This window comes from Homo sapiens, chromosome 19, assembly GCF_000001405.40.
Source record: "Homo sapiens chromosome 19, GRCh38.p14 Primary Assembly".
Lineage (NCBI taxonomy): Eukaryota > Metazoa > Chordata > Mammalia > Primates > Hominidae > Homo > Homo sapiens.
The window spans coordinates 40885469-40908941 of NC_000019.10; the positions used below are offsets into that span (position 1 = coordinate 40885469).

General features: G+C 45.2%; 1 pseudogene across 1 annotated transcript, besides 2 other annotated features; it reads left to right on the forward strand.

Moving 5' to 3' along the window:
• Positions 5358–15040, forward strand: CYP2G1P (cytochrome P450 family 2 subfamily G member 1, pseudogene; annotated as a pseudogene). The gene is made up of 5 exons (NR_040249.1): positions 5358–6684; positions 8206–8524; positions 12670–12857; positions 12969–13110; positions 14506–15040. The product of NR_040249.1 is annotated as a cytochrome P450 family 2 subfamily G member 1, pseudogene (transcript).
• Positions 11796–12090: an enhancer, noted in NCBI's record as "tiled region #12493; HepG2 Activating DNase unmatched - State 8:EnhW, and K562 Activating DNase matched - State 5:Enh". NCBI's record gives its function as "activates a minimal TATA promoter and a strong SV40 promoter by Sharpr-MPRA in HepG2 and K562 cells {active_cell/tissue: HepG2 | K562}" and the evidence as "EXISTENCE:reporter gene assay evidence [ECO:0000049][PMID:27701403]".
• Positions 22897–23046: a silencer, noted in NCBI's record as "silent region_10651". NCBI's record gives its function as "represses an Ori minimal core promoter by ATAC-STARR-seq in GM12878 lymphoblastoid cells {active_cell/tissue: GM12878}" and the evidence as "EXISTENCE:reporter gene assay evidence [ECO:0000049][PMID:35858748]".

Here is a 23473-nt window from a genome sequence, read left to right on the forward strand (position 1 = left end):
AGTCAGTGTTCCCCTCAATCACCCTGTGTGCTCGTGCATCTTTGTTTTGTGCCATTTTGTCCAGTGGGTTCTCCTGGATGCCTCTGCCATGTTTATCCTCATTTATACAACTGTGTGTGTGTCATTCTGGGTGCATGCTTTTAGTGTCTACGTGCATGTATGTTTCAGCACGTTCATGTTGATACATGAATTTATGTGTGCACCAGGCTTTGTGGTGTGTATGTTTGTGCTTGATAATGGGTATCCATTCCAACTTATGTCTGCACATGCACATGTGTGTGTGTGCCTGACAGGGTGTGGCACTGTTTCTCAATGCTTGCCAATCTGTGTCTGTCTCTGCATACAGCATGTGTGCACACATGATTTAGGGGTGTCTACGATGTGTATTTCTGTGTAGAACAAGATGAATGCTGCATATTCATATTTGTGTGTATACATTCACAATTGGGTGACTACATATAAGTATGTGGATGTTTTTTTCTTTGTTTTTTTTTTTTTTTGAGACAGAGTCTTGCTCTGTCCCCACGCTGGGGGGCAGTGGCATGGTCTCGGCTGGAACCTCTGCCTCCCAGATTTACACCATTCTCCTGCCTCAGCCTGCTGAGTGGCTGGGGCTACAGGCGCCTGCCACCATGCCTGGCTAATTTTTTGTATTTTTAGTAGAGATGGGGTTTCACCATGTTAGCCAGGATGGTCTCGATCTCCTGACCTCGTGATCCGCCCGCCTGGGACTCCCAAGGTGCTGGGATTACAGGTGTGAGCCACCGTGCCCGGCCAGTATGTGGATGTTTTCATGTGTTCATTCTGGTGTGTGTGTGCAGACTTGTGGGCCATGTTGCATACACGTGAACATGTGATATTTTCCTGTGCTCATCTGTGTTTGGATTAAAACAGTCCTATCCCAGCTCCATTTATCTGCTTGAAAAAACCCCCAGAACTGCAGGAAGCTTTTTATGAGCATAATCTTAATTGAACTCCTGATTGCAAGACTGAGGTTAGCTTTATCATCTCCATTTTGCAAATGAGTTAGATAAGTTCCCCCAAAGCCGGTCATAAGTGACTTGCTTCTGCATTTCACAGCTAATGAGTGTAGAGTCTTAGTATGGTCTTGTGTGATGGTAAATTTTTTTTTTTTTGAGATGGAGTTTCGCTCTTTTGCTCTTGTTGCCCAGGCTCGAGTGCAATGGTGCGATCTTGGCTCACTGCAACCTCTGCCTCCTGGGTTCAAGTGATTCTCCAGCCTCAGCCTCCCGAGTAGCTGGGATTATAGCCACCAGACGCAGCTCATTTTTGTATTTTTAGTAGACACGGGGTTCACCATGTTTGTCAGGCTGGTTTCAAACTCCTGACCTCAGGTGATCTGCCCACTTCGGCCTCCCAAAGTGCTGGGATTACAGGCATGAGCTACCATGCCTGGCTGTGAATGTAAGTTTCATGCTGTTAATCACCACTTTGGACTGCTAGGCCCCACCTGTTTTTCTTTATGAAACATTAGAAAAACTGCTTGTACTCTCTTGTGTTTCTTCAAATACTTCCATGTAAACATGTAACAAAGGATTTCAAAATGTTAGAAAAAAAAGTCTTTTAATAGGAGGGAGACTTGACCTTCTGTAGTGTTTGCACTTTTTGGAAGCTTAACCAAAGACCTAGTTGGCCAGTATACCCCTCATGCCATTGGCAATGAAGCAGTGGGGGAGTTGGGGTACTAGTTGTTGTGGCCAGAGAGTGAAATGTCTGTGTTTCACATTTCAGATTGATGACAAGGATTTGGGGGGTGGGGCTGTGGGAATGTTGGCTGAAAATAGAGTGAAGAAGGTCAAAGAAGAGAAGACAGTCAAGATTCTTTTTTTCTGAGTGTTTGGATAGCTCACATCCATGGCCATGAAGTTCCTCCCTACCAGTAAAATGGCAGGACTTAGAGTTCAGAGATGGGAAAGAAGTTGGATAGATGATAGGGATGAACAGCTTTTTTTTTTTTTTTCTTTTGAGGTGGAGTCTTGCTCTGTTGCCCAGGCTGGAATGCAATGGTGCAATCTTTTTTTTTTTTTTTTTTTGAGATGGAGTCTTGCTCTGTTGCCCAAGCTGGAGTGGAGTGCTACAATCTTGGCTCACTGCAAGCTCCACCTCCCGGGTTCATGCCATTCTCCTGCCTCAGCCTCTGAAGTAGCTGGGACTACAGGCGCCCACCACTACGCCCGGCTAATTTTTTGTATTTTTAGTAGGGACTCTGTCTCAAAAACAAGACAAACAAAAACAAACAAACATGATGCAACTATATGCTGCCTATAAGAAACTCATTTTACCTGTAAAGATGCATATAGACTGAAAGTACATAGATGGAAAAAGATATTCCATGTAGACAAAAACCAACAGCAAGCAGTAGTAGCTATAACTTATACCAGTTGAAACAGATTTTAAGGCCGGGCGGGAACGGTGGTTCATGCCTGTAATCCCAGCACTTTGGGAGGCTGAGGTGGGTGGATCATAAGGTCAGGAGATCGAGACCATCCTGGCCAACACGGTGAAACCCTGTCTCTACTAAAAATACAAAAATTAGCCGGGCGTGCACCTGTAGTCCCAGCTACTGGGGAGGCTGTGGCAGGAGAACCACTCGAACCTGGGAGGCAGAGGTTGCAGTGAGCAGAGATCGTGCCACTGCATTCCAGCCTAGGCGACAGAGCGAGACTCCGTCTCAGGAAAAAAAAAAAAAAACCATTTTAAATCAAAAACATTAAAAATAAAAACAAAACAAAGTATGAACCCGGGGGCGGGGGTGGAGGTTGCAGTGAGCCAAGATCACACCAGTGCACTCTAGCCTGGGCAACAGAGCAAGACTCCATCTCAAAAAAAAAAAATATTCTGGCAGCATCACATTTCTTAGTCCCAGAAGGAGGGCCATGTGACTAGGCAAAAAATGACCCAGGTTCCATTTCATGCACACACCCTCTGGAGCACAAATCTCCTTCTCTCTATCCCACTTAGACCTGGGTTTCTCTCTTGTCCCTGTATCTCTTTGTTTCGTTGCCTTTCTCTTTGTTCATCTCCACCTCCAACTTTTTGTCTAGTTGGATTTCTCTGTGAGCCATGGGTGCGTCCACTCTTTGGGTTCCTCTTGATTCTCTTCTCAGCCGTATGTCACTTTCTCAGTCTCTGTCTCACTGAAACTTTTTTCCTGTCTTTTATTCTTTCTGCTTCTATCTCCCTCTCTCTGTTTCTTTGAATTGTCTTTTGTCTCTGTGTCCTCCTTGACATTTATCTTTGACTCACTGAATCTCTCTCTCTCTCATCTCAATTTTGTTTTGTTTGCTTTGTTTTGTTTTTGAGACAGTCTCGCTCTTGTTGCCCAGGCTGGAGTGCAGTGGTGCGATCTTGGCTCACTGCAACCTCCACCTCCCGGGTTCAAGCAGTTCTCCTGCCTCAGCCTCCTGAGTAGCTGGGATTACAGGCGCCCGCCACCATGACTGGCTAATTGTGTGTGTGTGTGTGTGTGTGTGTGTGTGTGTGTGCATGTATTTTTAGTAGAGACAGGGTTTCACCATGTTGGCCAGGCTGATCTCGAACTCTTGACCTCAGGTGATCCACCTGCTTTGGCCTCCCAAAGTGCTGGGATTACAGGTGTGAGTCACTGTGCCTGTCCTCATCTCTATTTTGATCTCACTCTGGTTCTGTTTCTATGCACCTCGATTTTGTCTCAATCTTGATTTCTGTCTCCATCACATAATACCTGGCATAATCTGCCATGCTCTGAATTTCTCTGCCTCAAGTCCTCTGCAATTATTTTTCCTCTTTAGCTTGCTTCTACTTTTTAGTTCAAGTTCCTCCACTCCTGGCTTCCTATCTGGAGGTGGAATGGTGAAGGGAGCTGTTCTAAGAGTATTTGCTCTCTCCCTTCCCGTCTGAGTAGGAAAACCAGACTCACCATCACCACACACATGCCACCACCCTGAATGGGTGTTAAATGCTGGGGTGTGAGGATCAGAATGGGATGGGGAGGTGAAATCTAAGAGAGTCAAAGGAGATGGGCTGAGCTGAGTCTCTACTCCAAGAAAGACATTCTAGCAGCAGATCCAAGAGACAGAACGTGGCACTGTGTGTGAGTCACTCAGTTTTCGTAGAATTTCCACTGCTTCTGGACACAGGATGCCTCAGCTCAGCCAGCCAAACCCCATTCCCAAAACTTACAGATACCTTGAGGGATTCAGTTTCCAAGTCTGAGAATACAGTCGTGTGAAAAGGACATTGAATTTTGATAAATAGTATATGTGGGTAGGATATAATATCCAGGAAGTTCATTTCAGGCCAATAAGGCTTTGAAAATATTTGGTGCGGAAAAGGTAGTGAATCACTTTTTAGATTATTAAGGAACACAATCACTAATTGCGCTGGAGGAGATGTTCTCCTCCAGAGACTGGGGTTCAGAGGTGATCCCTACACCTTAGAGTTTTAAAACACACACACGCACACACACCAACACACAATACAGCAAAGTTCTTTTTTTCTTTTTTAAATTTGATACAGCAAAGTTCTGATACACCAACACAAGTAATCTTTGATTATTGTTATTTAACATCTTGAGTAGAAAACAAGAACTTTTTGAACAAAACCTGTTCAATTGATTTATTTCTCTTGTTTTCTAAATCTTCAGCTTACTTTCCTTATTAACATTCTAGTGTTCCATTACACAGTAGGGTAGCTGTAGTTAACGATAATACATTGCATATTTCAAAATAGTTAGAAGAGAGGATTTTGAATGTTCTTACCACAAAGAAATGATAAATGTCTCAGTAATGGATATAATAATTACCCGAATTTGATTGTTATACATCGCATACATGTATAAAAACATCACACTGTACCCCACAAATATGTACAATTATTATGTCAATTAAAAAAATTTAATAACTGTTTAATTAGGGTTATACTTAATTAAGTAACGAACAAAGAGTTTTCCTTGTTGTCTATCAAGACTTTCTAAAACAACATGGTCTGCCAGCTGTGGTGGCTCACGCCTGTAATTCCAGCACTTTGGGAGGCTAACGGGGGGGCGGGTGGTGGATCACTTGAGGCCAGGAGTTCGAGGCCAGCATGGCCAACATGGTGAAACCACATCTCTACAAAAATACAAAAATTAGCTGGACATGGTGGTGTGCGCCTGTAGTTCTAGCTACTTGGGAGGCTGAGGCATGAGAATCGCTTGAACCCTGGAGGCAGAAGTTGAAATGAGATTATACCACTACACTCCAGCCTGGGTGACAGAGTGAGAATCTGTCTCAAAAAATAAAACAATAAAAAAAAATAAAACAACATGGTTTCCCTGTTTGATAGATGGGGAAACAAGTCCCAGAGGTTAAGTGACTTTCCCAGTGAAGAAAAGACAGAGCTGCCACTTGTACCCAGATTGTCTGGATCCTAAAATCAATAGCCTAAAAAGATAATAATTTGCCTCTTACACCCCACCAAGAAATTCTGTTCAATTCTGTTGAGCTGAGAGGGAAGAACAGGGAGACTGGAAATATGAAGAAAGGGGAATGGCCCCAGAGGATTTCCCTGTGTGAATTCAATTTACCTTTATTCAGGTGGGAGATTATAGGTTATATAACCACCCCCAATATAAAGCAATCTCTTCCCCGATGACACTCAAACCCGGAAAACTTGAATCCCAGGGTGTTCAGATTTTGGTATAAGCTGATCTCCCAGGACCTACTTAGGCAGGATCTGGTGCCCAGGACAGAACCTGTTGACCTGGCACCATGGAGCTGGGAGGGGCTGTCACCATCTTTCTGGCACTCCGCTTGTCTTGCCTGCTCATCCTCATTGCCTGGAAACGAATGGATAAGGCAGGAAAGCTGCCCCCAGGTCCTACACCAATTCTTTTCCTGGGGCACCTGCTGCAAGTTCGAACTGATGCTACGTTTCAGTCTTTCATGAAGGTGAGTCTGTCTGTCTCCTTTAATAGGGCTAAAAGCAACTAATCCTATAGCCAGATTCACATAGAAACTTATGACTTCTAAAAGATAGACTCTCAGAAACACAGACTTTGCAAATCTTAGAATTCTGAAATTCCAGAATCCTAAAATGTTGGAAACACACATTCTCAGTGCATTGAAATAAGATTTTCATGATCTCAGGACTTTGGAATCACAGTACATTATATTTTTAAACACAGGATTCTTTGACTCAGCTTGTCTTAGCACTTTGAGACTTGGTATCATGAAGTCTTAAGATTCTAGAAATTTAACATTTCAGAGAGAGAAGTATGAATCTTGGAATTTATCGAATCCAGGTCCCTTATTTTGGAGATGCAGACAGTAACTCTTGTGGGAAGGGATGAGCTTTTGCCGAGAATGACAGAAGCCAAGACTTCCGTGCCTCTTTCCCAGTATTCCTTCCAAGCCCAGATTTACCTTGGTTCCTTAGTACCATGTTTATATCCCTCTAAAATCGCCATCCTCTAAAATCCTCAACTGGCCTATGCTTGGTACTCCAGTCAGCCCCTCCTCTTGTGTTTTCCTTCACTCCAAGCTCAGGGAGAAATACAGCCCTGTGTTCACTGTGTACATGGGTCCCGGCCAGTGGTGGTTTTATGTGGACACGAAGCAGTGAAGGAAGCCTTGATAGACCAAGCGGATGAGTTCAGTGGCCGTGGAGAACTGGCTTCAATAAAGCAAAACTTCCAAGGTCATGGTAGGTAGCAACAACAACAAAAACAATAAAACCGGAAATGACTGCAATGCACTCCCTATATGCCAGGTTCTTTGGTAAGTAGTCCACATGACTTACTGTATTGACTCCCTTAGGAGAGCTGTTAACATTATACTAATGTTGTCAATGAAAAAGCTAAGATAGGCCAGGCATGGTGGCTCATGCCTGTAATCCCAGCACTTTGGGAGGTTGAGGCGGGCAGATCACCTGAAGTCAGGAGTTTGATACCAGCCTGGCCAACGTGGTGAAACCCCGTTTCTACTAAAAATTTAAAAAAAAATTAGCTGGGCATAGTGGTGGGCACCTGTAATCCTAGCTGCTCAGGAGGCTGAGGCAGGAGAATCACTTGAACCCTGGAGGCGGAGGTTATAGTGAGCTGAGATTGCACCATTGTACTCCAGCTTGGGCAACAAGAGTGAAACTCTGTCTCAAAAAAAAAAAGAAAAAGCTAAGATAAAGGTTAGATAATGTCACACAGTAAGTGGTAGGATAATTTTATTTTGAGCCTATGCCATCTGACTCCAAACTGTTTTCTGTGTTATTTCTGCTCCTATTTTTAATGGATTAGTGAGATATATATATATATATATATATATATTTTTTTTTTTTTTTTTTTTTGAGACAGTTTCACTCTTGTTACCCAGGCTGGAGTGCAATGGCATGATCTTGGCTCACCACAACCTCTGCCTCCTGGGTTTAAGCCATTCTCCTGCCTCAGCCTCCTGAGCAGCTGGGATTACAGGCATGCGCCACCACGCCCGGCTAATTTTGTATTTTAAGTAGAGATGGGGTTTCTCTATGTTGGTCAAGCTGGTTTCGAACTCCCAACCTCAGGTGATCCACCTGCCTCAGCCTCCCATAGTGCTGGAATTACAGGTGTGAGCCACTGAGCCCGGGGGATTAGTGATATTCTTTATGCACCCATAGCCAACCCTCATACCCCTTATAGCTAACCTTATTTCTCATCTTCCTATACTTATACACATACCTAACCCATAGGTCTCTGCCTCCTTCACTTAGGTAGATCTCTTTCTCTCATGCATCCATCTCTAACTGCCCACATCCTTCAATTCCAAGGAGGCTCACCACATTCTGCCTATCAATCTATCTATCTATCTATCTATCTATCTATCTATCTATCTATCTATCCATCTATCTTTCTATTACCTTTTTTCTTCTGTCCATTGATCTATATTCATCAGAAAATCCATTCATTATTCTTTCTATAAAAATATCTTTCACTCTATTATCTATACTTCTGTCAATTAACTTTCTATTTATTCATCTAGTCATCATTCCTTCCATTCATTAATGCTTTCATCATTCATACATCTATCAATCTCTCTATCCACTCTCCAACTGTTATTCACTCAGTTATTTTTTTATTTATCCAGTTCCACCTCTGCTTCCTGTAAGAAACACTCTTTGATCTCCCCCTATCATTCCTGCACTGATTCCCTTTTCCTCCACCTGAGTCTGGACTTTTTTTTTTTCTTTCCCGAGGATCCTGCAGAGAGGGAACCTTACTCTCTTGATTGAGTCTTGAAGGTTGAGGATGGCTTCCTGGACAGCAGAGTCTAGAGCTTTCATAATCTTTCCCCATCACTGCCTAAGCACAGAGTTGAACACAGCAAGGGGAGGGAGGCAGAAGCCTGAGACTGAGATCTTGGCAGGTGTAGCTCTGGCCAATGGAGAACGATGGAGGATTCTCCGACGCTTCTCCCTGACCATCCTTCGGGACTTCGGGATGGGAAAGCAGAGCATTAAGGAGCGAATTCAGGAGGAGGCCAGCTACCTACTGGAGGAGTTCCAGAAGACCAAGGTATGAGGGCCACAAGGGGGAGGGCCACTAGGTGACTGGGTGGTTATGGAGCTCTCAGTCACGAGAAGATGGGCCTTGGCGGGAGAAAGCTCTGGAATGGAAGAAGAGGGAAAATATTAAGAATCCACTGAGATTTCTGGCAGCTTCCATATTAAGAGTTTACATGATCATGCCTGTAATCTCAGCACTTTGGGAGGCCAAGGCGGGCGGATCATGAGGTCAGGAGATCAAGACCATCCTGGCTAACATGGTGAAACCCTGTCTCTACTAAAAATACAAAAAAATTAGCTGGGTGTGGTGGCGGGCACCTGTAGTCCCAGCTACTCGGGAGGCTGAGGCAGGAGAATGGTGTGAACCTGGGAGGTGAAGCTTGCAGTGAGCGGAGATTGCACCACTGCACTCCAGCCTGGGCGACAGAGCGAGACTCCGTCTCAAAAAAAAAAAAAAAAGAGTTTACATGAGCTGGGCATGGTGGCACATGCCTGTAGTGTCAGCCGCCTGTGGGGCTGAGGCTGGAAGTTGCTTGAGCCCAGGAGTTCAAGGCTGCAGTGAGCTATGATCATGCCACTGCACTTCAGTATGGGAGACACAGTGAGACTCTATCTCTTAAAACAACAACAACAAAACAATTAACATGGAAGACCCTTAGAGACCACTTATCTAGAAACTTTCATCAGTGGATCTCAGGGTGGGTCTGTGAGCTCTCGATATCCTACACAGATTTTGGTGACATATGACTTTGTGACTCTTCTTGAAGAGAGTCTCAAATTTCATTCCATTTGTATATCTGTATTGTGGTAAAAAAAATACATAACATAAAATTTACCATATTCACCATTTTAAGTGTCCAGTTCAGTAGTGTTAAGTATATTCATGTTGTGAAAAAAATCTTTTGAACTTTTTTATCTTGCAAATGTGAAACTCTATACTCATTTCATTGTGTTTTTAAAGGAGTTCAGTTCCACCAAAAAATAAGGTCTAGAAACACTGGGGTCTATAGAGAAAAGACAGGCTGAAAACAAACAAACAAACAAACAAACAAACAAACAGAGAAAATTAGATAAGAGGTAGAAATAGAGACACATTTTCTCTACACCTGAGGCTCCTTGCCTGGTCTCTATGGGTGATTAACAGGTCTATATAAAAGCTTCAAATGCCCATGTACCCCAGAAATTATTCATAAAATTGTGTATTTGTGAATATGTGCATTATTCTAGAGAAATTGTTCCCAGATCTACTGATCTTGTTTTACGGAAGGTGTAGGTGAGGGCAAGGGAAGGATTTTGTTTTGTTTTGTTTTGAGACAGAGTCTTGCTCTTGTCACCCAGGCTGGAGTGCAATGGCATGATCTCAGCTCACTGCAACCTCCACCTCCCAGTTTCAAGCGATTCTCCTGCCTCAGCCTCCTGAGTAGCTGGTATTACAGGCACCTGCCACCATGCCCGGCTAATTGTTGTATTTTTAGTAGAGACGGGGTTTCGCCATGTTGGCCAGGCTGGTCTCCAACTCCTGACCTCATGATCTGCCTGCCTCAGCCTCCCAAAGTGCTGGGATTACAGGCGTGAGCCACCGCGCCCAGCCCGGAAGGATTTTTTAAATTGCCTAAATGGAATTATCGGTAGAACTAGACAGAATTCAGGAACTTTTATAATGTGTCCCTTATCCCACTTTTCTCCAAATATGAGTCTCTAACATCAACACATTTAAGTAATAATAATAAAAAATAATGATTAAGCTCAACTAGCTTTTCTTGAGTGCTTACTGTATGCCAGGCATTGTGCTAATTATTTTATATGGATAATGATACTGAATCCTCATGACTCTTCACCCTTTAGAACTTCAGGACGTGGAAACACAAAATCCCCGACTTTGGGAGGTCATTTAACTTAATCTTCTACTTGGTGTCTGCGGCCTGTGGCTGCTGTAACAAATTACCAGGAACTTAGTCATCTAAAACAACACAAATGTATTATCCTTCTGTTCTGAATTTCAGAAGTTCAAATAGGCTTTCACTAGCTGACACCAACGGACCATCTGATTCTCTGCCTTTTCGGGGTGTTAAAGCTGTACTCCTTGTAATCCTGGGTTCACGACTCTGTCCTCCATCTTCAAAGCCAGCAGCGTAGCTTCTTCAAGCCTCTGTTTGCTTCTGGCATCACATCTTTTATTCTTTTTCATTATTTTGGAGAGTCTTCCTCTCTTGCCCACGCTGTGGTGCAGTGGCGTGATGTCAGCTCATGCAACCTCTGCCTTCTGGGTTCAAGTGATTCTCCTGCCTCAGCCTCCTGAGTAGCTGGGATTACAGGCATGTGCCACCACACCCAGCTGATTTTGTATTTTTAGTAGAGACAGGGTTTCACCATGTTGGCTAGGCTGGTCTCAAACTCCTGACCTCAGGTAATCCACCCTCCTTGGCCTCCCAAAATGCTGGAATTACAGGTATGAGCCACTGCGCCTAGCCTCACATCTTTTTTTTCAAACTCCGATTCTCCCGCCTCTCTTTTATACAGACACACAATATTATATTGAAGGCCAATCTTGACAACCCAGGCTAATCTCTTCATCCCAAGATTCTTAATTTACTGGCATTTTCAAAGTCTCTCTTGTGTTTTTGTTACCCTTGTATACATAGCCTTCCAGGCATTAGGTTTTAGAGACTTGGAGGTGGTTATCTTTGATGGACATTATCGAGCCAACTGCCCTGCCAAAGTTAAATAGAATCCGTCTCCAATCACTTCTGATCTGGTCCATTTGGGTAACTTTAGTAATGAGGAACTCACTACTTGCTTAAGGAAAATTCCCAGTTTTGGCCCCTCTCCTTAATAATGCAATTCAAAACAAGCCAAAGGATTTCTCCTGGTGCAGATGAGAGATGCTAACACACTTCCACTCAAATGTTTCTAGTGTCACCTCCATTGTCTGAGTTGTCTTTCACTGGTCTAAATAATCAGGCCGGGTGCAGTGGCTCACGCCTGTAATCCCAACACTTTGGGAGGCAGAGATGGGCAAATCGCTTGAGGCCAGGACTTCGAGACCAGCCTGGCCAATATGGTGAAACCCTTTCTCTACTAAAAATGCAAAAATTAGCCAGGTATGGTAGCGCAAACCTGTAATCCCAGCTACTTGGGGGACTGAGGCATGAGAATCGTTTGATCCCAGGAGGCAAAGGTTGCAGTGAGCCAAGATTGCACTACTGCACTCCAGCCTGGGGTACAGAGAAAGACTCCGTCTCAAAAAAAAAAAAAAAAAAAAGAAAAGAAAATCAAATATTTATTGGATGCTTCTATGTGCCAAGCACTGTCCTAGTTCCTTGCCTTGCATACCAGACTTTATGTAATGTTTACAACTCTATGACCTTGTCCAAACAGCACACTCATTTTGAAGATGATGAAACAAGTTCAGAAGGTGAAGTCACTCATCCCTAAAGTGCAGAGGAGTAACTCCAGCAGTGGTGATCTTAATCAGTCACATAACCGCTTGTCATTTGTGTCAATCCTGTCCTAGTCACCTAGCATGCCTCTTTCCCATTCTTTAAAAAACCCATGTATGAGAGCCAAGCTGGGACCATGGCTTTTTGGTTCTTTTAAGTAAAGACCAAATGTCCTGGCAGCGTTCAAGACTCCAAGCTGCCTGTCTCCCGATGTCTGATGAGTAATTGAGCATCACCAGTGTGTCAGTTGTTAAGTTAAAGAAGCGACCAAACAGGCCTGGTGTGGTGGCTCACGCCTATAATCCCAGCACTTTGGGAGGTTGAGGTGGGTGGATCACGAGGTCAGGAGTTTGAGACCAGCTTGACCAACATGGTGAAACCCTGTCTCTATTAAAAATACAAAAATTAACTGGGCCGGTGGCAGGTGCCTGTAATCCCAGTTACTCTGGAGGCTGAGGAGAGAGAATCACTTGAACCCAGGAGGCGGAGGTTGCAGTCAGCCGAGATTGTGCCATTGCACTCCAGCCTGGGTGACAGGCTGTCAAAAAAAAAAAAAAAAAGAAGGGAGCAAACATGCATGGCTTGCATCTGAGATCTCTTTCTGCTGGAGCTTGGAATGCATGATTTGCCCTGGCTTCCCTAACAAAAACACCTGTTTTATTTTGTTTTGTTTTGTTTTGTGCCCTTGTCCGCTATATTTTCTGGCCCCTTCCAGCTAAGATTCACGAAGAGATTAACCAGGTGATTGGACCACACCGGCTCCCAAGGGTGGATGACCGGGTCAAGATGCCCTACACAGATGTCGTTATCCATGAAATACAGAGACTGGTAGACATCGTGCCCATGGGTGTCCCCCACAACATCATCCAGGACACTCAGTTTCGAGGTTACCTTCTGCCCAAGGTGGGGTTGCACCCTCATTGCCTCCCTTCCACTGCACTCCTCTCTCTCCCTGGTTCCCTACCTCTGTAGCCCAACACTGATTTCTCCTAACTGCCCTCATTTTCACCCCAGGGCACAGACGTATTTCCCCTGCTTGGCTCTGTCCTCAAAGACCCCAAATACTTCCGCTACCCAGATGCCTTCTATCCCCAGCACTTTCTGGATGAGCAGGGCCGCTTCAAGAAGAATGAAGCCTTTGTGCCTTTTTCCTCTGGTAGGTTTCTCTGGTCTGACTTCCTCCAGGCATGTGCTAAATCCACCCCCAAGCCACTGGTCTGTATTTGAAGTTCAAGTCACAGTGTGAATTTGAAGGTTATATCATAGAACCATAAAGTTTTAGAATCCCAGAATTAGTAAATATTAGGATGTTTGACTCTGATAATTAGAAAAAAAAAGTTGGGATGGTAATAGCACTAAACAGGGCATAAACCAACTGGCTGGCTGTTAAGAACAAAATAAGACATATTTTCTATTTTTCCAGCCAGATAGTCTCTGAACCTTTGCCATTGATCAATGAAAGCAGCCATAGACAATATGTAAATGAATGAGCATGTGTGTGAGCCTGAAAAACTGTTTACGGACACTGAAATTTGAATTTTGTTTTATCTTCATATATCACAAAAGAGTCTTTTTTCCCCAACCATTTTAAAATGCCAAAAGCATCCTAGTTTGCAGGCTGTATGAACACAAGCAGCAGGGCAAATTTGCCCAACAGACACTCATTTGCCTACTCATGTCATAAAATCTTTATGCAGCAACATTTTAAGTGTATGTTGGCATGGCACAGTGGCTCATGCCTGTAATCCCAGCACTTTGGGAGGCCGAGGCAGGTGGATCACTTGAGGCCAGGTGTTCGAGACCAGCCTGGCCAACATGGTGAAACCCTGTCTCTACTAAAAATACAAAAATTAGCCAGGCGTGGTGACAGGCGCCTGTAATCCCAGCTACCCAGGAGGCTGAGGCACAAAAATCACTTGAACCCGGGAGGTGTAGGTTGCAGTGAGCCGAGATCATGCCACTGGACTCCAGCCTGGGTGACAGAGTACGACCCTGTCTCAAACAAACAAAAAACAACAACCAAAAGTGTATGTCATTTGGAACCTGGAGTCAGGACAGTGGTTGGGAATCTGGACTCCACTCCATCATTTAGAAATGGTGGGGTCTTGGGTGAGTCACTTCAGCCCCCATCTGTGAAACAGAGATTAATCCCTCCAAACAATTGGAAGAGTGGCTTATAAACAGTAAGTGTTATTACGGGTGAGTTTTCACTTTTTTTCCTCACCAGTGTCTGGCACCTAATAGGCATTTGACAAACCCTTGAGGAACTGAAATGAACACAACCTTGAAACTCATGGATCCTATAGAACCATTCCGTCTTGGAACGGGATGGAATCCCAGCCATCAGAGAAGTAGCAGGTCCTAGCTGAGCACTAACTATAGATACCCACTAAGCCTGTGTAACACCCCTTTATAAAGCAGTCACAGTCATGAGCCCTGATGTGCGGATGAGGCAGCTGAGGCCCAGTGGGGTGGTCAGTCCAGACACCCCTGGCACCCCCATGACCTGTGCAGGTGCAACCCTTCCTTCTGCCCTCCCCTGTGCCTGCAGGAAAGCGCATCTGCTTGGGCGAGGCCATGGCCCGCATGGAACTCTTTCTCTACTTCACCTCCACCCTTCAGAACTTCTCTCTATGCTCGCTGGTGCCACTTGTGGACATCGATATCACCCCCAAGCTCTCAGGCTTTGGCAACATCACCCCGACCTATGAGCTCTGCCTTGTGGCCCGCTGAGCCACACCTCCTGCGGGGCAAGGAGGAAGTGGTGAAGAATGCAGCTCTCCTCTCGTGTTCAGGAGCACCCCCTCTTCCTCATCTTACTAATCCTCAAGCATCCCTAAGAGGAGGCACTATGATTACAGAGTCAGCCAGGGTCACCTGAGAATGTACAGCTGCGTGTCTTCCTCTCCCGTAGAAGAGCAACGCCCTGTGCAAGATTTGCACCTCTGCCTGCAGGTTTCATGGTCACATGGTCACCGTTGCTTAGGTTTCTGGCTGCATCAAATTATTACTGCAGTCCCTGTGTCTTCATGTTGTCCCTTTTTGTGTGTGCTCTGATTTTGACCAAAATGTAGTCTAAAATCCTTTCTCCTTGGTTCTCATCTTTACCCACCAGCCCCCGAAAAGTGAACAAAGACCTCAAGTCTGTTGAGCGTAGCAAGTTTATTGAGTATGGTGTGTGACAGCGATGTAGGGCACAGCCAACAGCTTGAAATGTCTTTCTTGACTTGTTATGAGTTATAGTTTCTGCCAGCTGCTCTCCAGTGACTTCCCCTGGGTAAAATGCCCCATCCTCACCCATCTTGCTGACTCATTACCTTTCTCCGCCATCATCTCTTCTTCTAATCTTCCTTTCCAGTTGCTCTCAGCACAACTCCCAATTCCAAATACTCCCCAGTCCGTTTGTTTGTTTGGAGATGGAGTCTCACTCTGTGGCCCAGGCTGGAGTGCAGTGGCACCATCTAGGCTCACTGCAACCTCTGCCTCCTGGGTTCAAGGGATTTTCATGCCTCAGCCTCCCGAGTAGCTGAGATTACAGGCACGTGCCACTGCATCTGGCTAATTTTTGTAATTTTAGTAGAGATGGGTTTTCGCCATGTTGCCCAGGCTGGTCTTGAAATCCTGACCTCAAGCCATCCACCCACCTTGGCCTCCCAAAGTGCTAGGATTACAGGCATAAGCCAACGTGCTCGGCCTCCCCACTCCATTTTTGAGGATAGCTCAGTTATCCCCAGCTTCTATCATTCCCTTTCCAGACTCCATTAACTGACAAAAACGTTCCCTCTTTTTCATTTATTCAGCCAATATTTACTGAATACCCAACAAGTGCCAGCGTAGTCTTCAGGGACTTGGGATCCATCAGTAAGCAAAACAGACAAAAACTCCTGCCTTCAGGGAGCTAACATTCTAGTAAGGAAGGTGGACAATAAAGCATACATGAAACAAATATGCAAATGACATACTGCATTAGAAAAGCAAGGCTGGTAAGTGGGATATGCATTCTGTGATTGGAATTGCAAATGGATGGTTAGGGGTGGTTTCACAAGGTGATGGGGCAACAAGCTATGAAGATATCTGGGAAGGGAGTGTTCCTGGCAGAAAGATTAACCAACAGCAGTGGCCGGGCGTGGTGGCTCATGCCTGTAATCCCGGCACTTCGGGAGGCCGAGGTGGTCGGATCGCCTGAGGTCAAGAGTTTGAGACCACCCTGGCCAATATGGTGAAACGTATGTCTCTACTAAAAATACAAAAATTAGCTGGGCGTGGTGGCAGGTGCCTGAATCCCAGCTACTTGGGAGGCTGAGACAGAGAATTGCTTGAACCCGGGAAGCAGAGGTTGCAGTGAGCTGAGATTGTGTCATTACACTCCAGCCCAGGTGACAGTGTGAGACTCTGTCTCAAAAAACAAAGCAACAAACAAACCAGCAGAGTCCTAAGGCAGGAGGCTGTGTGCATCCAGGAATCCACAGGGAGCAGGTGTAGCTCGCATGGAGGAGGAAGACAGAGTAGGAGTGAAGGAAACGAGGCCAGGGAGGCGATGGGGACCAGACTGTGTGGGGTCTTGTGGGCCAAGGTGAGGTCTTGGCTTTTACCCTGAGAGTGATTGAGGTATTTGGAGGGATGGTGAGCAGAGGATGACATGTACAGACATATTTTACAGGGCTCACACTAGCTATCATATGATGGATACAAAAGCCAAGACCTATTAGCAGGCTACTGCAACTGGTGGTGTTGACTCAGACCCAGCAGCAGCAGTGAAGCTGGGCAGAATATGGTAGATTTGAAATCTGTTTCACTCTCTGAGATGGTGGGGTTTGCTACGGTATTGTATATAGGGTGTGAGAGAAAGAGGGAGTTCAGGCAGGAGTCCAAGGATAGGATCTCATCTTTGATCACCTCTTCTTCAACCTGTCACCTCCAGGGAACCTTGGGACCCATGACAGTCAGGGTTCCTTTTTTTTTTTTTTTTTTTTTTTAGACAGAGTCTCACTCTCTCACCCAGGCTGGAGTGTAGTGGCATGATCTCAGCTCACTGCAACCTCTGCCTCCTAGGTTCAAGTGATTTTCCTGCTTCAGCTCCCTGAAGTAGCTGGGATTACAGGCACGCACAACCACGCCTGGCTGATTTTTGTATTTTTAGTAGAAACTGGATTTCACCATGTTGGCCAGGCTGGTCTCTATCTCCTGACCTCAGGTGATCCACTCATCTCGGACTCCCAAAGTGCTGGGATTACAGGCTTGAGCCACTGCGCCCGGCCAGGGTTCCTATTTTTAAGCAATATAAAGTGACTTTGGTTATTTTAAATAGAAAGGCTGTTAGCTACTGGAAGGTGATTGTTTAGCTCACAAAATTAACAGCAATTCTGGAAAAATAGGGTAAGAATATGAGTAGGAAAAAGAGGCTGTGGTAGGGGACCAACAGCCAAGGTAATGTTCAAAGCTATCTGGTAGGACCTGCTGCCACACCACCCATCTCCTGGGTACTGAACACCTGACCCACCCCCTGGGTACTGCCATGGGACTCTAGACCCACTGATGCCACTATAGATGATTTCCTGATTGTGTCTGTGTTTTTGTCTCACATCCTCATGATTAAGAGTTCCAGACATCTAGCCACATGTTAAAACCTTAGGGTTCAAGGTGAGGTGAGGAAGAATGAATACCTCCTTCAGCTGTTGTAGTGGGAGGCAAAGCCTTGTCCCTGATCAAGAGCCACACAATAGGAGGTACTCAGAAAATCAGAAAAGAGTTTTGAGACTGTGTGTATAATAAACAATAAATGCGGCCAGGCATGGTGGCTCACGCCTGTAATCCTAGGACTTTGGGAGGCCAAGGTGGGCAGATCACTTGAGGCCAGGAGTTCGAGACCAGCCTGGCCAACACAGTGAAACCCCATCTCTACTAAAAATAGAAAAAAAATTAGCCAGGCATGGTGGTGCATCCCTGTAATCCCAGCTACTCAGGAGGCTGAGGCATGAGAATCACTTGAACTTGGGAGGTGGAGGTTGCAGTGATAGTGTCACTGCACTCCAGCCTGGGCAACAGAGTGAGACTGTCTCAAAACAAACAAACAAACAAACAATAAATGCCATTATATACATTATGGGAATTAGATCCTCCGGGAAGCTGAGATTTAGACGGAGTTAGGGGTCCATCATTTTATTGGAGGGAGGAGGGTAATGCATGTGAAAGACCAAAAAGGAAGGAAGCAGATGACACTGGTAGCAGAAAAGTCTTCAGAACAGGATGCAGATCCAACACTTGTGAAAGAAAAGAAGGAAGGAAGGAGGATTGGACAGAGACAGGCCAAGACCACCAGGCAGAGATAACAGACCCATAATCCAGAGAAAAATGCTGTTGGGGATGGTTTATGTTGGACAGATAGGGTCATGCCCTGGATCCCAGAGTCCTTAATTACTATTTGGGGCTTCCTTGGAAAAGCATGGGTTCCGCTCCACACTGAGGTGGGTCCTAATGGTGCTGCAACTGGAGACTCTCAGCTCACTGCCCTTATTGAAGCTGATTGGAAAGTTCTCCATGAATGAAGATTCAAGTAGCACATCCCTATGCCCACCACAGACACCAACATACAAACCCACATCATTAAAGCCTTGGCACCCCCTTCTATAAATGCAGCATCTCAGAGCTACAAACACACCTCGCAAGTACACAGTACAATGGGCATCAAACATTTTTAGCTGTGAAACGTTTTTTAAAATGATCTTACTTGCAAATAGAATACATAAAGCAGGCCGGGCGCGATGGCTCACGCCTGTAATCCCAGGGCGTTGGGAGGCTGAGGCGGGTGGATCACCTGAGGTCAGGAGTCCGTGACCAGCCTGGCTAACATGATGAAACCCTGTCTCTACCAAGAAAATACAAAAATTAGCCGGGCATGGTGGCACGTGCCTGTAGTCCCAGCTACTAGGGAGGCCGAGGCAGCAGAATTGCTTGAACCTGTGAGGCAGAGGTTGCAGTGAGCTGAGATCACGCCACTGCACTCCAGTCTGGTGATAGAGCAAGACTGTGTCTTAAGGAAAAAAAAAAAAAGAATAAGCAGGAGAGAGAATTGTTGATCTCTCTTTAGGTAAAGCACAGAAGAGCTATAGGTCCTCAAAATAGCCTTCATTTCTATTTATGACGTGAGCCTATTAGAAAGTTCCTAGAGGCTGGCGCGGTGGCTCACGCCTGTATTCCCAGCACTCTGGGAAGCCGAGGTGGGCGGATCACGAGGTCAAGAGATTGAGACCAATCTGGCCAACATGGTGAAAGCCCGTCTCCACTAAAAATACTAAAATTAGCTGGATGTGGTGGCACGTGCCTGTAGTCCCAGCTACTCGTGTGGCTGAGGCAGGAGAGTCGCTTGAACTCGGGAGGTGGAGGTGGCAGTGAGCTGAGATCAAACCACTGCATTCCAGCCTGGCGACAGAGTGAGATTCTGTTAAAAAAAAAAAAGTTCCTAGAAATTCTGAGAATCTAAGACATTGTAGTTATTCAACACACATCGGGTCCTTCCAAGGGGCCCACGGAAGGACCTAATGACATAATGGTGACCAGGAAAAGCTCAGTGACTCACCACATAGGGCTCACAGCCCAGCAGGGAAGAGTGCTCCATCCTTTACAGTGACGGCCCAGCATAGCCCAGCATAGCTCTGATGAAGGAAGCACGGAGTAGAATGTGGAGGACTGTGATGGAGGAAGCCCAGGTGGATTAGGTAACACCAGGAAGTATGAGGCAGGTTAGAGGGAATCCGTACTCCTGCTATCCCCTGGAAGTAATTCATTTAATTAGAGTAAACATTTCTCAGAAACTAGGTGAATCAATTTTCTTCCTAGAACTAATCAAGACCTACAAGTCAGAGAGGACATTTTCTTTACTGTGAGGTTTTTTTCTTTATATTTGTTTCTTTTCTTTTTGAAAAAGCCTTTATTGATATAACTTACAGATCATAAAGTGTACAATTAAGTGGGTTTGGGTGTATTAATCAATACTGCAACCATCACCATGGTCAATTTTAGAACATTTTCATCACCTCTACAAGAAACCTCATACCTTCTAGGTCTTACCCCTTTTCCCCCACAGTCAATTCCCTGCCCTGAGCAACCACGAATCTACTTTTCTTTGTAGATTCACTTTTTTTTTTTTTGAGATGGAGCCTCGCTCTGTTGCCTAGGCTGGAGCGCAATGGCACAATCTCTGCTCACTGCAACCTCTGCCTCCCAGGTTCAAGAGATTCTCCTGCCTCAGCTTCCTGAGTAGCTTGGATTACAGGCACCCACCACGACGCCAGGCTAATTTTTGTATTTTTAGTAAAGATGGGGTTTCACCATGTTGGCCAGGCTGGTTTTGAACTCCTGACCTCAAATGATCGTCCGGCCTTGGCCTCCCAAACTGCTGGGATTACAGGCATGAGCCACCATGCCTGGCCTAGATTCTCTATTCCTGACTTGCATATAAATTAAGTCATATATTATGTGGTCTTTTCTGACTGCGTTCTTTCACTAATACTTTTTTAAAGGTTCATGCTAGTTGTAGCATGAAGTTCTGCTTCATTCCTCTTTGTGGCTGAACGAAATTGCATTGTATGGATATATCACCTTTTATTTATCAGTTTATCCAGGGATGGATTTATTAGCTTCCTAGGGCTGCCTAGGAACCTAGGTACATATAACAAAGTACCACAAACTGAGTGGCTTAAAAAAACAACAGAAATGGGCTGGGCACAGCAGCTCACACCTGTAATCCCAGCACTTTGGGAGGCTGAGGGGGGCGGATCACAAGGTCAGGAGATCAAGACCATCCTGGCTAACACAGTGAAACCCCGTCTCTACTAAAAATACAAAAAATTAGCCAGGCGTGGTGGTGGGCGCCTGTAGACCCAGCTACTCAGGAGGCTGAGGCAGGAGAGAATGGGAGGCAAGGCGGAGCTTGCAGTGAGCCGAGATCCTCAACTGCACTCCAGCCTGGATGACAGAGCGAGACTCCGTCTCAAAAAAAAAAAAAAGAAAGAAAGAAAGAAAGAAAGAAAAAATCCCATATTCTCCACTTATTCATCCCTCCTCCCTAAACTCCTGGCAACTACTGATCTTTGTACTGTCTTCACAGTCTCACTTTTTCCAGAATATTATATAGTTGGAATCACACAGTATGAAGCCTTTTCAGGCTGGCTTCTTTTACTGAGCCATATACATTTAAGGTTCCTCCCAGTCTTTTCATAGATTGATAGCTCATTTCTTTTTATTGCTAAATAATATTGTATGGATGTACCACAGTTTGTTTCCTCATTCACCTGTTAAAGGACATCTTGGTTGCTTCCAAGTCTTGCAATTATGAATAAAGCTGCTGTAAACATTTCTGTGTAAGATTTTGTGTGGATATAAGTTTTTGTGTGTGGATATAAAGCTCATTTGGGTTAATACCAAAGAGCCTGATGGCTGTATCACATGGTAAGAATCTGTTTAACTTTGCAAGAAACTGCAAATCTGTCTTCCAAATTAGCTGCGCCATTTTGCATTCTCACCATCAATGAATGACAGTTCCTGTTGGACCACCTCCTTGCCAGCATTTGGTGATCAGTTTTGGATTTTAGCCATTCTAATAGGTGGGTAGTGGTATATCATTATTGTTTTAATTTGAAATTTTTAGTGACATATGATGTGGAGCATCTTTCCGTATGCTTATTTGCTATGTGTATATTTTCTTTGGTGAGGTGTCTGTTCAGATCTTTTGCCCACTTTTCATTGGGTTGTTTGCTTTCTATTGTTGAGTTTTAACAGTTCTTTGTGTATTTTGAATGTAAGTCCTTTATCAGGTATGTGCCCTGTAAATATGTTCTCTCCGTCTGTAGCTTGTATTGTCGTTCTCTTGACAATTCTTTTGCAGAGCAATTTGTAATTTTAATGATGTAGAATTTATCAATTGTTTCTTTCATGGATTGTGCTTTTGGTGTTGTGTCTAAGAAGTCACCAGCAAACACAAGGTCATCTAGATTTTCTCCTATGTTATCTTCTAGAAGTTTTATACTCATTTTTTATTTAGGTCTACAATAAACTTGGAGTTAATTTTCGTGAAAGCTGTAAGGGAGCTTCTAAGGGGGACACACACTAACTTATTTGAGAGAGGGCAGGTAATTGTGAAACTCTTAGCTGGGTCTTACAACAGACCCTAGATCCATCAAGAGAACCCAACCTTCAGAAACCCATAGTGGAATGTTTTTCATGCATACATGGGGAGAGTATGCAGTCATATGCTCACATGCACAACTGTACATGATCACACACATGCATATGGTATGTCCTGATCCAGAGTTCTCCCAGCATTCTCTCAGAATGTTTCTCTCTGTCAATTTCTTCATTAAGCGGTCTCATTGTGTCCCTGAACTGACTCTCAATGGACGACAGTGGCCTTACCTGGTAGGGGGTGCAGGCTACACCCTGGTGCACAAAGTGTGCTTGAGTAGGTGAGAGTGGGCAAGTGTGCAGTGAAGCCAGGACAACCGCCGGCCAGGTCTCTGGAGAAAACCCCAGGACAGGGCTGTTCAGGCTGTGTGATGCTATACTAAGCTGTTTGACTTGAGGAAGGGGTGCTTTTTAAGAATCTGCCCAGAGGGTTGTGTTCAAAGATTTGCTGGGCACTTATATTCTGTGACACCTCAGCTACAGACAACTTTCTGAGCCTCAGCTTTGTCATGTGTAAAATGGGCATGAATGCTGTTCCCCTTTGCAGAGGTTTGTGGGCATTAAGTGAGGTGAGCATGCAACGGTTTTTGAACAGAGCTGACACGGAGGTACTTGTTCAAGAAATGAGATGCTATTATTACTACTCTTTGTAGCATAGTTTAAGGTTTCCCTTCCTCTCATCCCAGCTCTGAAGGACATCGTCAAGGTGAACTGAGCCCCTTCTGTTTCTTCTCTTCCCCCTAACCACCTCGCCCCTTCCTTTCCCCCTGTCCTGCCCCCATTCTTAGCCCCGCCCCTCCCGCAGGCCCGCTCCTGGCCCCGCCCTTCCTCTGATCCCGCCCACCACGCCGGCACCAGCACAGCCCTCCCTCAGCAAGGCAAGTAGCACTTGGTGTAGTTTCGTGGGATTGTGACAAAGCCCACGTGTTTGGGGGACACAACAATGTCCTTAGGCGACTGCCGCGATTTGAAGCGGAAGTTCTGCATGATGGTGGTGAGGTAGAGAAAGAGCTCCATTCTGGCCAGGCCTTCTCTGAAACAGTTCCGCCTTCCTGAGGAGGAGAGGCGGGAGGGGTGGAGGTGAAGCCCACTCTTAGTGCAGCCTTGCCCCGCTACAGACCTCCAGCTGCGGCTCTCCCAGGGAGGAGGGGTGGAATATTATGGCCTGAGAGACTTTCAGAGGAGGCTCTGATCCTCCCTGAGCCTCAGTTTCCTTGAGTGTACAAAAGATGTACAAAAGATGGGGTGATCGATGCCAGGTGTCACAATGGGAGGTTTAGATGCCCCTTCCCCCAGATAACACTCGCAAATATGACTGCTGTGCCGTCATCTCCTTTTTA